Source organism: Homo sapiens, chromosome 12 (assembly GCF_000001405.40).
Source record: "Homo sapiens chromosome 12, GRCh38.p14 Primary Assembly".
Taxonomy (NCBI): Eukaryota; Metazoa; Chordata; class Mammalia; order Primates; family Hominidae; genus Homo; species Homo sapiens.
In genome coordinates, this window is record NC_000012.12 from 77,842,763 (window position 1) to 77,859,174 (window position 16,412).

The 16,412-nt window shown below is 34.6% G+C and overlaps 1 protein-coding gene across 27 annotated transcripts in view; it reads left to right on the plus strand.

Annotated features, from left to right (window-relative positions):
- Positions 1 to 16,412, plus strand: part of NAV3 (neuron navigator 3) — a 641,149-nt gene that overhangs the window by 270,901 nt on the left and 353,836 nt on the right. The window lies entirely within an intron of this gene.

Consider the following 16,412-nt stretch of genomic DNA (forward strand, 5'->3'; position numbering starts at 1 on the left):
CACATATAAAGAATATTACACCGAACAATCTCTTTTTAAATGCAAGGTGAATTTCTAAGGTAATTTGTCTGTAGATTTAGTTGTGGTATAAGACTATTTGTATCCAGGTTTCTCCTTCTCTTCAGCAGTGTTCATTGTTTAGCTTCAGCTTGGATCAAGTTAAATTGCTCACTTTTTAGGCTTAAAAAATGTACAGATTATATATTTCTCTTTATTGTCCCTGAATGCTCACATCTTTCATATAAACTTGCTGTACCTTTTTTTTGGACAATTTATTGAATTTCTACAGGGTGATATTTTTGCCAGAACTTTTTATGTTATTATTTTGACTCATATATTATTTGGATTCTGTTTCACATTTCTTTTCTCCTCAAAGCACCTGCTTTTTATACTATTTCTTCCTTCCTTTGGCTGGCTTTTTGATATCCACACTTGTGTGTTGCCTTCCTCCATTGAATACAAGGTTTACTATTATCTCCAACAATATGTTCTCTCAGCTATTGTCTTCTGATTCCAGCTAGACCTATTGTATTACAAAAAAAAAGACTATTTCGGTAAATGTAAACCCTTTCAGTTACCACTTCCAGGTCTGCACTGTGGACCCCAGGTAACTTTCCTTGTTTTTGTTAATCATTTGTGTGTGTGTGTGTGTGTGTGTTTGTGTGTGTATCTTATAGGCATTATAGAAAATATACTTAGAAAAACAGATTGAATATAGATTCCTAAAAAGAACCTGGGGTTCTTTGAATATTAAATTCCTATTTTTTTTTTTTAGGAATCTATAGTCATTTTAGGTGTCTTTTTAGGTTCTTTTTAGGAATCTATATTCATTTTTTCAATATTAAATTCCTATTCAATATTACCTAGAAGCCACAGAAATGATTATAATGCAGATTTTAAACAATCATAGCTTTTACTGTAGGTCTGGATGTAATTGTTTTATTTAGAACAGGTTTGCCGTCTCTAATTGTGACGATCAAAAATATATCCAGACAATGCCAATGCCAAACATCTCACAAAGGGCGGGGGGCATTGCCCCAGTTTACAACCAATTTAGACCCTGTCTTGTTTAAAAAAAAAAAAGATTTAGTAGAATTAAAAACATACAAAATATATAAAATTTCAAAACATATGCAAATAAAATGGGATTATATGAAGAAAAGAACACTAGAAAAGGATAAAGCTAGAGGAAAGGCCGATACATAAAATTTTTGCTGTGCAATTCTGTACAGTGGCTAGGGGTCGTCCACACATTTGGATCTGAGCTGTTGAGCTGTTAAGATTAAGTGAGTAATGTTGCTTTAATCAGTGCATTTGTGCTGCTATGACAAAATACTACAGACTGGGTAATTTATGAACAACAGAAATTTATTTCTTACAGTTCTGGAGCCTGGGATGTCTAAGATCGAGGTGACGGCAGGTTTGGTGTCTGGTAAGGGCTAACTCTGCTTCCAAAATGGCACATTGTTTCTGCATCGTCCACAGGGGAGGGATGCCATGTCTTCACACAGCAGAAGGCCAAAAGAGAATGAACCCACTCTTTCAAGCCCTTTTATAGGGGCCTTATTCCCATCTATGAGGGCTCCATCCTCATGACTTAATCATCATTTAAAGGCCCAACCTGTAAAGCTATCACATTGGTGATTAAGTTTCAACATATGAATTTGAAGGTCACATTCAGACCATAGCAATGCCCAAAGCATGAGCTAATATTTGGTCAGGAGAGTCACAACTTTACTTGCTTCTAGGTGTGCAATAAATTTTTTTGAGTTGTGTTTATAGGGATAATACAATGTAGTTTAAATAAAAAATTTCTCACTAACATTTTTATTCCAGATTTTAATTATTATTTTCTCCCCTTATCCCTCCATTCTATATGGACTTGTTTTAAATTTTTATTTTAATGGTTCTATTAAATATTTTTTCGTTGGGCAGAAAGAATATAGTCATATACATATACCTACATATGATACATGGGCATACTTATTCATCCTGTAGTCTAAATATGTAGAGTATATGTTGCATACAGCATTACAGCAGCAGTAGTTAATATGAAATCACTAAACTTCTAGTCAGGTGGCCTGAATTGGAGTCCTTTACTCCAACTGTGTCATCTTGCATGTTTTTACTCAATTTTCTCGACTTTGGGATTAGGACAAGAATAGCAACCTCACTTAATTGTAGCCAGAAATAAAAGCGTACTGTTATAGCATCATAATAACGTTAAGACATTACCTATCATTTTTGGAAGCAAATGAGACCTACAAACACACAATTTTTAGCACAGGCTATTCTTTTTTTAGAATATCAATAAGCATAGAACTAACGAGAAAAATTTACACACAGTTTTGTATAAATATGTATATGTGTGTATATATATATATGATATTCAATAGCTCCTGGATCCATCTATTTTAATAAAAGGAATCTTGTGGAATACAAATACACTTCCCAAATTCAGGCAGTCTTGTTTTGAAGAAAAACAATCTTAGTAGTGATTTATGGGATAGAGCTCAGATGGGTTTGTGCTTAGATTGGGGCTCAGTGCAGTCTGGCACTGCCTTTAGAAGAGAGGACCATGTGCTCTTGGACTTTGACTAAGAACCTATAACATCCTAATATTGAATGACTTTATTTCAGATTTTTGCTACAACACTTAAAAGAACCCAAGTACTTTATTTATTTTATTGCAGAAAGAAGCATATCTACAAATCATCACGCTTTACTTCACCATTGTTGAATGTTTTTTCCTCCTATGTTTAAGTCAATTAAAAAACCAATGTGGAATAGACAGAAATTTTCTCATCTATTGAAGTTTTGGATATTAGTGATATCTTTTAGAGGTTTTCTATTTTTTCATATTTTCATTAAGTTTGATTAGGCTAATACTTTTTTTTTTTTTTTTTTTGAGATGGAGTTTCACTCTTGTTGCCCAGACTGGAGTGCAATGTCACGATCTTGGCTCCCTGCAACATCCGCCTCCTGGGTTCAAGTGATTCTCCTGCCTCAGCCTCCCAAGTAGCGGGGATTACAGGCACATGCCACCATGCCCAGCTAATTTTGTAGTTTTAGTAGAGACGGGGTGTCTCCATGTTGCTCAGGCTGGTCTCGAACCCCTGACATCAGGTGATCTGCCCACCTCAACCTCCCAAAGTGCTGGGATTACAGGCTTGAGCCACTGGGCCTGGCTGATTAGTTTAATTCTTTAAACATTAAGTGTACCAAAATACTAGCTTTACAATGCAGTGCACTCCAAAAAGCACATAAAGATTACTGATCTCTGAGTCATATCTCCAATTCCGGATGAACGAAGATTGGAGAGGAAAGGGATAGGCTTATGTAGCTGAGAAATGAATTCACTCAAGAGTTGATAAGCACCAAAACCAAAAACACATCCAATACTAAATGACAAAGTGTCTGTAATTTCAGATCCTCCTCCATTAAAATCTATTAATAGAGATTCAGATTTTGTGTTTATTGCTTTAGGTATGAACTATCTGAGAATCCACTGTCAGGAGTTTATTCTCTAAAAGTTAATTCATTTTGTGTTTGCATAATGAATGAATGCAATGTATTTAGAAATAGTGAGGATAATATATGCAGGAAGATAATTCTAATAGAAAAATCTCTTGAAGGATAAATACGAAAATGTTGGAAGAATAAATGAGTTATCACATAGGCTGACCAACTGTACTGGTTATCTTCAGACTGTGCTGATTTTAGTGCGCAGTGTCTTGTTTTGGAGATTCTTCAGTCCCAGGCAAACTGGGATGATTGGTTACTCGAGTTATGAGTCCAATTTCCTTGATTTTCTCCTTGATTTCATTCTAGTTTTCTATAATAGTCTAATTATTAGTTCTAATTTTATAGTAGTTGGAGATCTCATATTTATCAATTTTTAAATATATTATTGCCTTGTTAAATTAAGGATTCGTTGTTAGATGCTGTCAATTATCTATTTCAGATTTAATGGGAAATGTCCTTTCTTTAACAGGAATTTTTCAAATTAGAAGTAGCTTCTTCAGAGGTTTTATTCAAAGGAGAATGATTTTTTTTCAATGAGGTTCAAATATATACATTTGCTCTTCATCCCTTTTTCCTACCATTTTTAACCAGTGTTGGCAATGAAAATAATACACTTTCCTTTTATGAAAAAAGCTTTGATTTGTCAATAAAACAAACATGTCTTAGTTCCATGAGTTCATCATCAGGAAATTTCCAACCTAAATCTTACGGGCCCTGAGTTGAATATAATGATATCTTGAGGTACTGCAGTGAATTTGTTTTTTCTATACCTTCAGAGACTACACACAGATATCAAGACTTTCTTTTCACTTCAACAGTATGCTTCTCCTCTGTAAGACAGACAGGATGTGGTCTAGGAGAAAGTCCACACTTTAACAATAGGCCATTGACAGAATGTGTGGGGAGTACAAAGAGGAAGAGAGCATCTGTCTACACCCAAAATTATCAGAGGCATTTCTGTGTGTGAGAATCTTCGATTTCAAAAATATGTTTTTAAAGGTCACCCGTTTTCCTTCTCTGTTTTTATTGGATGAGGAAAATTGCCTTCAAGATAACAAAACATTTTAAATTCAGGGGAGGAATTGCATCACATTTTGTCTAGTTATCCCAGGCAGAAAATGAATTCCCTCAGGCACTAAACACATTTTCTTTAGCTCTTATGTATGATCTATGTGAATCAAGCTGAGAAAATGAAAAGGGTGGGAAGATGAAATCCAACTGAAAGCAACAGGGCAGAGGATCCAACAGGCAAGAAGTCCTTCTAGGAAGAATAAATGGAGAGTGCCCCAGGTGCTGACTTTATCTACAATTAATTCTGTATAACATTTTCTCATTCATTCTGCATGAGCAAAGATGCTACACAAAGTATTACAAACACCACTATTTTTCTTTCTCTTCTGTAGCCTTGATCAAATGGTAGTTAAATTTTAATTAAATTTCATATTTCAAGGACTTGCAAGAAAGTCTCTGATGTCTTAGCCCCGTGTTTGTTCTCTGCATGTGTAGCTTGTTTTAGCCTTCAGAGGAAAGTTCCCATATATAGCACTCTATCACGATGTTGACCTGTATGAACATCCAGCTGGTGCAGCTGCCAGGAGGCTGAAAGGAGAGTTAGAATGAGTTCCTATGTCTGTCTTGTCTTTTACTTTCTTCTTTTGAATGCTGTTGTGTAAACCTTTTGTTCAAATGTCTTGCCACCTGGATTCTCTTGTGGATGTGTTGCTACTCTCTCCAAAAGACTTGGCAGAGGGTGCTTCCTGTTGTACAGCAGACTTTTATTTACAGAACACCTATAAAACCACAACAAGAATAGTCAGAATATAAAAGATGGCCTTCTAATGAACGTAGTAAAACTTCAGAGCACATTCTTTAGCCAGGAGAAAGTGCTGCAAAGATGTGATTTAGGATGAGTAAGACATAAGTCAAGGTGTGGATCTTTCAGTTTCCACTAGAAAACAACACTTGGATTTCCTGGCAATGTATTTTTGTAATGACTGTGGTTTCTTTTTGTAAACTGTGTCTCAGACAGGGAGGAAGAATGAACCAACTGGATTGTGTAACTTTATAAATAGAAACAGCCATGTTAAAATAACAAGACTGCTCTGGGTTAAGGCAATGAATTTTGCTACTAGCTGTAAAGCTAGGCCACTGAATGAATATAAGATCCATCCTGCAGAGTAACTTCTAAGGCTTGCCCAAAAATGCTTAATGGGAAAAATCTATGAGAAGTCCTTGCTCCCTTCTATTGTATTCCAAGTGTTTTACTCCAAATAAATCAAAACCTTTTCTCTGCTGGATATAGTCAAGTTGGAGACACACAGGAACTTTATCCTCCACTACAAATATTGAATAATGTGCTCATATCATTTTTAATACAGCACATAGTTTACTAAACTTTGGAACAGTTTATCCATCCTGGCAGTGGCATACAGGATAAAGAGTTAACTGCCTTATTATCTGTTGAACAAGATATATGCTACATTTGCCATAGGAACTGGAACACTGAATGATTTAAATTTCATGATTGCTCTTTATTTTTGGAGGAAGAAACCCAGGTGAAAGCAGAGAAATCTCCTAATGAGGATTAAAAAAAATCAATATTTTCAATATGATTCCATGCAATTTCATATGTACTTGAAAGAGATATGTGCTGTGTTTACCAGTCAGTCAAAGTTTATAGTTCATAGCTTTTGAGTCTTTTGGGAATTACTGCATAATAGTGATGTTTTCTTTTATTTTGGTGGCTAATCCTTCATAGACATTGTTGGCAAACTAATCTTCCTGAGCATAGCCATAATCTTGGCAATCATTCAAGCTTCCCCCAATGTAATTAAAATTAAATTTATTTAAACTCTAATTAAATTTCTTTAAACTTTCTTTAATGAGAAACCGATTTGATTCATGTTTATATCTCTTGAGCTTCCCAAACACAATGTGTTGTATGTAATAGTGATTTAAACATATGTGTTGAATAAAAAATAATTATTTTTATGATTGTATTACTTTGACTCATGATTTACTTCATGTCTATATCGCAAAAAGAGCCATCCTAGAGACTGTTCATGATTTATTGGATAGAAATGCCAGCTATGCTATTTCTATGCAGGTTGAGTATTTATAATCCAAAAATTCAAAATCTGAAATTCTCCAAAATCTGAAACTTTTTGGGTGCCAACATGACACCACACATGGAAAATTCCATACCTGATTTCAGGTGATGGGTTGTAGTCAAAACACAGTCAAAACTTTGTTTCATGCACAAAATTATTTGCTGAAAAAATTACCTTTAGGCTAAACGTAGAGTGTATATGAAACATAAATTTCTTGTTTAGACTTAGTTTCCATCCCCAAGATACCTCATTATGTATATGCAAAGATTCTAAAATCTGAAAAGAAAACTCAAAATTAGAAGCACTTCTGGTCCCAAGAATTTTAGATAAGAAATGCTCAATCTATATATCAGTGATCCAAAGTCCAAACCTTAATAATTTTGGCCTTAGCAGAGTATACTAAGTCTACCTTGAGCGATGCTACCCCAATCCAATGGTGGTCACGTGTGTCTCCAAACCTATCTCATCAAATATAGACTTTTGAATGTGGAAGAAAGAGTGGAGGATCTTCTAAGACAAGTGTCTCCTTTTTGTACCTGATTAAAATTAAGACTCGGCAGATTGAAGTGGGTTATCTCAAAGCCATGGCATTTTAAAAAGTGGCTATAAAATTCTACGCCCGTGTCCTAAGCGTCCCATTTATTGATAATTATTGCTTAGGTTACTCTAATAAACCTGCTTAGAAAAATAAATATGTCTTTAACATAAAATTCAAGACTCATAATATTATGGAAAGCCAGCCATAGCCTTGTGCTAGAAAATCAGTAAGGAGGTGGAACATGTTTGAGTCATCCTCCAACACTTACAAGTGTTTTTGGCATTCTTTGATTTCCTTGTCAGAACGTAACTAGTGAAATTCCTCTGTTCAATAACAATATCCATACTCTATTGCCAGGGTAGGTTTATGGATGTTAATAGAGTTTTCCTTGTCAAGGGTGATGTATGATATGGATCTTCCTCTAAGTAATCATAAGTCCGTTGCAGTATAGTAAATCAGCCAAGTGCATTGTAATTTATATGTTTTACTTACAGGGATTTCAGACAGGATACTTATCAAATGTACAAGAAAATGTAACTCAGTATTTTCTGTAACATATTCTTCTTGCTTTCTTTCAAATCTCCTTTCCTGCTGCTGGTGGTTGCAAAGGAGGTTGGTGATGATGGGGGAAACCTAAATTAAGCTATTTTCTTTTGGTTTGAGAAAGCCTCATTAGAGTAAAAGATTAGTAAATTTCAAGGTCAAATTTCTTTTCAGCACCTTTTTTTCCTTTTCTATGAAGTTTCTCTCTTTCTTTCTCATTTTTAAAATGGCTTCTTCAGATGGATGGATACAGTGTGTGTAGGGAAGCTTTTGTGTCCTCAGGGTAATGGCAGATGAAGGGAGAAAAAAGTCTCTGGTTTTCTTGCTACTCTTTGGGTCCTTGCTGGTCTCTGCAGAGTTGGCCCCATCCAGCCTGGTCACTGGACATGTGCTGTGAGACTTGGGCTATGTGGACACCCTCTGTTGGCAACTATTGCTCATATTCTGCACCTGTCCTGATGCCAGCTCTCTTAGAATACTAGTCCTCAGAGCATTCCTGCATAGCACCACTGGGACACATAAGAACTTTTGGATTCATAGACATCGGATACGCTGTCTCAAGCCATATCTACCTAACTGTGTCTTATCATTTTTCCTCTGCTGTGGCTATTCCATATTGGCAAGGAGCACCCCTGCATTCTGATCCCCCCAGCTATCAAATGAGAAGTGGGGCACAAATTCTTTCAACCTTCACCCTGCTCTTTGACCTATCTTGAATTTTTTTTATGTAACTGTTAATCTTGTGCCTAGTCCCAAGGGTATGGAGGCACCAGCTTCTTTCTCAGGAATTCAAATTGTATCTTATCTTTAGAAATACCCCTTCTGAATCCCCTTGCTTCCTTACTGCTATTTGAACCTTTATTTACCCTCACTGTCACAGGTTCTCTGAAATATATCTTGCACCCTATGCATTGTGGTTAATAGTGCCACTGTATGCTGTGGTAACCAAGATTTTGTATTTGATAGATAAAGAAAAGTTCTTGAATTTGGAAAACACTTTTGTGCTCAATGAAATCTAACTTTTGAGACTATTTTGTCACAATGAACTTAAAAATATTTTCAATAATATTAAGCAATCAATTATTTGTTACAGACTGAATTCTGTCTTCTTGTAATAATGATTGTCGTTATTTTAATGATTAGGGAAACTTTAGATCAACTAAGAAACAGGAACAAAAAATGCTATGCTATTATCTCAAAAATGCATACTCCTTCCTACTTAAGAATAATAAATTTATATATTATGATATGGTAAAATTCACAACTAATTGTATTTTTCCCTAGAATGTTTAAAGCATTATCTAATACCAGCTTCAGTGTCTATATTACTGTAACTTCATGAAAGACTACTAACAATACTGGCTATCATTTATTAATATTAAGTAGTACTTGCCAGATGCCGTTAGAGGTGCTTTAAATGCATTCTCATTTAGTCTTCGTGTGTACTACCGTTATCTTCACTTTTTAGATAAGGAGACTAAAGTATAACTAGAGCTAAGAAACATGAGAAAGACGACCTAGCTACTGCCTATTTTGTAATTCCCATGGACTAAGCTTGGAGAAGTAAGAACTATTACTACAATAGCAGAAATTGAACAACAGCTTCATTTAGGAAATCACAGCAAAAGTATAAATAAAATGATGACTCTTAGGAAATAAAAAGCAGTTTTTGAGAGTAGGGATAGATGTGGCCTGCTCATTATAAAGTTCACGTGTGGTAATGGATAACTGATTTTCAAAATAACAGTTTAAACTCTGAAAATTCTGTTATTCTGACTGGGTGCAGTGGCTCACGCCTGCAATCCCAACACTTTGGGAGGCTAAGGCAGGGGGATAACCTGCAGTCAGGAATTTGAGACCAGCCTGGCCAACATGGTGAAACCCCATCTCTACTAAAAATACAAAACTTAACCGAGCGTAGTGGCACATGTCTGTAATCCCAGCTACTTGAAAGGGAGGCTGAGGTGGTAGAATTACTTGAACCCAGGAGGTGGAGGTTGTAGCGAGCTGAGATCGCACCACTGCACTCCAGCCTGGGCAACAGAACGAGACTCCCTCTCATAAATAAATAAATAAATAAATAAATAAATAAATAAATAATGTTATACTTATGAAGAATAACAAAACATATGCATTATAAGTTTGTGAAAACGGCCTAGTAAAATATTTTAAAATTGTTATTGATGTATAATAGACACATACCAATAAAGTACACATACCATAAATATGTTTCATGAATTTGTAGAAAATGAACACATTTTTCCAGCTAGTAGAGAATAGGAAACAGACATTTACAATTGCTGTCTGACATTTACAATTACAATTTAGATTCCTTATTCTCGTAGATTTATATTATTCCAGTACGTGAATTCTCCCACAATTTATTTTTTATTCTGCTTTTAATGTGGGCATTTGGATAGTTTATAGCTTGGGGATTTATGAATAATGACACTGTGAACATTCCTGCACATGTCTTTTTGCGAACATAAGAAGCGATGTCTGTTGGGTAGATCCCTAGGGGTGAAACTTCTAGGTAATAGGCAAGACATATACTCAGCTTTCATGAGTACGATTACTGCCACCATTTCTAAAGTGGTTGTACCAGATTGCTTTCTTACTAACCTGAATGCATCTTCAGTTGCTCCACATCTCTGCCCTCTGGTATCACCATTGTTATGAGGCCACAGGTCCTTAGCATTTTCTATGTAGTGTGATTTTGTTGTAGTTTTAAGCTTCCATACACTTATGACTGATGGAATTGATTATCTTTTCTGTATTTAACTGGCCATTTGGATATCTTCCGTTGTGTTCATTCAGGTTTTCTGCTTACTTTTCTAATAAGTAGTGAGCCTCTTTCCTTAATGGTAGATAGAAATTTTTTAAACATTTTCTGCACATGAGTCCTTTGTCAAATATGCATATTGTGAATATCTTTTCCCATTCCATGGGTTGTGTTTTCCCTCCCTTAATAATGTCTTTTGGGAAACATAAATTCTTAATTTTAGTGTAATCCAATGTATCAATTTTTATCTTGTTTAAGAAACTCTACTGTTCAAAAATTTCAAAACTATTCTATGCAAAAAGCACTATTTGAGATGAAAATTGAATATGTGCAATACTTCTGATAGCAACATTTCAACATACACAATAAAACAGGCAGAATTGGTCATTGTACAGAATAGAGATAATCTTATCTCTATTTAAAAAAAAGCCACATTTTGTGTCAGATGATTTCTGAATCCAGTAAAACTCTTAACGTATGCATACCTTTTATAGTCAGTTTGGCAGACTTCTAAAAATCAGGAGTTAATATTTCATAAGGTATAAATTTTTCTTATACTGAGGTGAAAATTCTCTCTCTGTTAGTTCCACTTATTGGTTCTAGTTTACTAATATAGTCTTTTGTTCACTTATCTATTCAACACATATTATATGAATCCTATGACTTCTAAGTCTTGGAAAGGTTTCAGGGATAATTGAGGAACTCAGAATTGACTTTGGGAAGCAGTCTGTTAGCAGGTGTACATTTTTAGAGCTCATAGTCATACCAGTTGGTAGGAAAATGAAAAAGCCTCACCTTTTTGTCCTCTTCTTTGAGTAAAGGCTTTCAACTATTCCACACACAATATGAATTTCAGATGCCTTATCATCATGGTTATTCGTTTTCAGACATAGCCTAATTAGTTACTGATATATTTAACATTAAGATTAAAAATTAATAGAAAGCAATAGCCTACATGATGTTTCATCAGCAATATGGCTCCATTAGTTTCTAGAACTGGAAGGCAGCCTGTTTCTGTTGATTCAGCTTAGAGCAGCTCTATCATATTTTTGGCAGTACCTCATACCATGTTCACATACTAAACTTGAATTTGAATAAATCTGCATAAATCCCCTAAATCGTACTTTTATGATTATTATCAAACAAGTGTCCTCCAACTTTTTCAGTTAATTTACGAATGTACAAAACTTGCTGATCATTAGAAACCTTGTTTTCCGAGAACATTTTATGATATAGGACTATGTTTTCTTTTTGATGTAAAAGTAACTGAAGAAGGTAGGAAATAAAGCTATGTAATCATGATAAGCCAATTGTGTGTATGTGTGTATGTGTGTGTGTGTGTGTGTTTGTGTGTGTGTGTTAAAATTATTGGAAATAAATGTGCCAGAATATTTGTGGCACTTATCCTAGAAAACAACATATAATTTCAAATCATTTATGCTAATTCCAAGTTCATTTCCTTATCAATCATGCCGCCTCTTTCTACTATCTTTTCTAAATCTACAAATGAGATCATATACCGTCTAAATATTTTAAGTGTAAGCATTTATTACTTAGAAATGCTGACTAACATCTGGCCGGGTGCAGTGGCTCACGCCTGTAATCCCAGCACTTTGGGAGGCCGAGGTGGGTGGAGGCAGGCAGATCACGAGGTCAGGAGATTGAGACCATCCTGGCTAACACGATGAAACCCCGTCTCTACTAAAAATACAAAAAATTAGCTGGGCGTGGTGGCGGGCGCCTGTAGTCCCAGCTACTCGGGAGGCTGAGGCAGGAGAATGGCCTGAACCCAGGAGGCGGAGCTTGCAGTGAGCTGAGATCGCGCCACTGCCCTCCAGCCTGGGTGACAGAGCGAGACTCCATCTCCAAAAATAAAAATAAAAAATATATGCTGACTAACATCCTTTTGCATGTGTCCTAAAGAATTCAGGTGGAGAATGATCTTTTAATCAACATTTAAAAATTATAATTGTCTAAATATTTATACAGTTATCCAACTGTTCGGTATAGCCTAAATTTCAATATATTTTTGCCAAAAATAGTAAAATAATCATCAAATATTGTCTGAAATCAAAATTCTAAGCTTTTGTTATTTTTTTGGCTTCCCACTTAACATTGTTACAAAATGAAAGAAGGTCAGTTTGACAGAATCTATTCTTAGTGAATCTGTGATATCCCTAAAGGGTATCACAATATTTTTCTATTTTCTCAAAAGGTCTCTGTTCAATGACATTGTGATATATTATAAGAATTCTATAATACTTTGCAGCTCCTCCCATCAAGGTGGGGTACAGAAGTGTATTCACATCCATCTTGAATCTGGACTGGCCTTGGAATTTACTTTGAGCAATAGAATGCAGTTGAAGAGACACTGTGAGAATTCTGAGCCCAGACTAAAGAGGCCCAGAGCTTTCCCACTTGCTGCTCGTGGGCACTCTATATAAATAAGCATGAGCTAGTCCACTGGATATTGAGTGACAATCGATGCAGGGCCCTAGCCGACAGCTAGCTAATGCCAGATGTATGAGTGAGTCGTTGACTGCCAGCACATTGCAGATACGTGAGTGAGCCCAGCCAAACTCAGAAGAAGGAACTCCTAGCTGACCTTAGCCCAAATTGTCACCCTACAGTATCATGAGCTAAAAAGTCATTGTTGTTTTAATTCCTTAAATTTTTGGTGGTGTATTTTATATAGCAAGTGCTAACTGATACAGATTCGTACTGCATTTTCATAATAAATGCTATAATGTTTATTTCCATGTAAGTCTGTTATTAGAATTTACTGTTTATATAGGCTGTAGAGTATTATTATCTTCACTTCAATATAATTTTTAAGAAACGTTCTTTATTGTACATATGTTGTGGAGAGAAGATGAGCACTATATAACTGGTAATTCTTTTTACCAATGGATATATATAAGAGCTTTCATTTCCTGCTGTTTGTTCTGTTTCAGGAGAAGTAGGACTTGCAGCTCTTGGCTGTCTATGAAGTAGAGTATTATTATTATTTGTTCTTGTGACATGTAGCTATCTAAGTCTTAGAATAAATAATGCTTTATGAAATGATAATGACAAGGTGAAAATTAGGAGGAAATACTGATAACTTGCTCACAAATTGTGCACATTGGCTGTTGGGCCCCAAGGAGTGTTTTCTTACACAGGAGGTCCACCCAAGATTTGTTTCCTATGTTCTAAGGTGTAAAAACATACATGAGAAATATGTATTTATTTGAATAAGACTATATTTGGTTTAACTCAATCTTTGAATTTAAAATCTTACCTCCAGAAATAATTTTAAAATATTATATTTTAGAAAATTTTCCAGTGGAAACAATGCCACAGAGTTTTGAAATGATGTAATTAAAAAGTAAAATAATAAAATAACATTCTTAATATTAAATTATTTTACAATGGTTGTGAATGCATAACATTAAAATGTTAACTTGAAAGGAGGAATAATACAGTTAATTATCCACATTTCTAAACAATGTTTGAGTATTATGAAATGGCTTTTTAAAAACATTTTTACCCAGACATTTAGAATTATGCACTTTAAAATTTGAATGGTTTCAATTCAAAATAAGCAGTTATACTTTCTGAAAATAAGCTTTCCAGATCTTGAGTGGATCTAAATTTTTAGACTTTGGACAACGGAAGGCTAGGAATGATAAAATGCTAATTTTTTAGATTTCATTTAGCAGTATCAAATATCTAAAACTATTTTATGGCTTTGCATTGAATAAATCTGTTACTTTTAACATCAAATGCATTTATTTGGCTGATCTAAAAAATGAGACGCTAGTCAAGGGAAATTCAAATCTACATATTTCTGATAAATTTGGAGGGGAATTCAAGCATGAAAGTTGGAATCCAACTGTTTTACATGCAAATTCTAGCCCTCTCTTTTAATGAGGGAGTACACTTGAATATGTTACTTAATCTCTCTGAGCTCCAGCTTCTTTGTCTCTAAAATGAAGATCATAATATGAACTTCCTAGAGTTTTTATAAGAGTTAGACATGGCTTTTCAGTGCCTGGAATAGCATGCATCTTTAATAAATGATAGCTATCATATATTCCAAGATTTTGGTTTTAATTTTTTTGAAATTATGTGATAATTGTAATTTTTCTTTGGTGTTTAGTGTTAACGGTTGCATTGAATAAGAAGTTTGAATCTTTTAAATTATTAAAAAAATCTCATTAACTTAGGAAAAGTAGGGTTTTTCCTAACTAAAATAAAAATGTAATGAATTCCATTTCTTTCAAGTATTCAGCAACATTTATATTGATAAATATTTAAATATTATCATTTTGGTTGCTAACAGTTCCTTTTGTCTGAATTTTAAACCATTATCTGTAATTATATATATATATGACATTACTTTAGTGTGAAAAAAAGACTTTAGAAAAAGTTTGCCTTGAGCAATCTTTTCCTCAAAAGAATTAATGATATTTTAATATTCTTGTAAAAAACTAATTAAATATCCATATATAAAATAATGTCTGAAAACTAGGGATAGTAAAAATATGCATTATACAGATTAAAATGGGTGAAAACTGAACCCCCCCAAACACATTTATATTTACAATGCCATGGAATTTGTTATGTTTTTATGACACAGAGTTGATGAGTTTTATTGTTTTGTTTGCATATTTGTTACTGGTATGTTTGTAAGGGCACACATTACATGGATAAGAAGGAAATTCATTTCGAGTACCAAATGCTATCCATGCAATTTGCCAAGAAAAAAATATACTTTTTGCATTTGAGACAAAATACAATCCATATTTATTTCATGAGCTTAGGAATTTTAAGGGGTCACTTCTATAGGAGAGTTCCAAGGGAGTTAGGAATCTGGCCTGTGAGTTTTACTTTTGGCAGTGGCTTCTGAAATAAAACACAATCGCTTATAATATTTCAAAAAGTTATCCATCATCCACAATGTAAAGTACAATATTTAAAACTCTGGAGTATGGCTTGAAAAATTCACTGTTCATGGGAGGTGGAAAACATGAAAAGAAAATGAAAATGGGAAACAGGGGGTTTAAGCGGAATTGGGTTCCATGTGGATAAGGAATTTGACTCAAAATACAAATGTTCCAGGAAATGTTTGGTGAGGACTGTGTAGTTAATTAAGATTTCCAGAAGTTCAACAATGCCTCAGGTTCTCAGGAGGTAGAATGCATATAACCACCAACTTAAAGTTAATATCTAAGACCAGCTATTTACATACAATAGTTTAATAGAGATTTACCAGAAGAATTGGTGAGAAAACAGTTCTGTTGAAGATAGATTGGGAACTCACAGCCATATTTTATTACACTATCTCATTGTGGTTTTTCACACTGTGGGAATTGGACTTCCAGAACTAGGGGAGCCTCTCCACTTTCATTTTAGTCTGACCACTTTTCTTCAGGGAAGGCAAAGGTTCACAAATCAAGTTTGTTCATGTTAAACCCCAGGAAGAGATTTAAAAAGAAAATCTTGCTACATAAGCATCCACAATGTAAAGTACAATATTTTATATGTTATATCCATATAACAATAACTGTTCTACCAAAAGCCCAAGCCAAACAAAATCTAACAAAGTCTCATTAAGTATTCAACTGGATATGCAGTGCTTAGCAGAGAAGTTGCCTTAAATAATTCTGCTATGATTTCCTACTGAGGGAGATGCAAAGTTCTTTACCCTGACCTAAGTTCATAAACCTTTTGTGTTGACTGACTGGCATTGCAGGTTGGCAGGATATTTCTTCTAATTTACTTTCACTGCAGTTATAAAAAGTATAGATCCTCACTCTTATTTTTAAATGAACAAGTGTATGTCATTCACAATAAAATAATATCAGTCAGCCCAGCAAAGAATGAGAAGTCAGTTTCACAAGTAATTGAGATCTCTTTTCAGTCTTTTAGA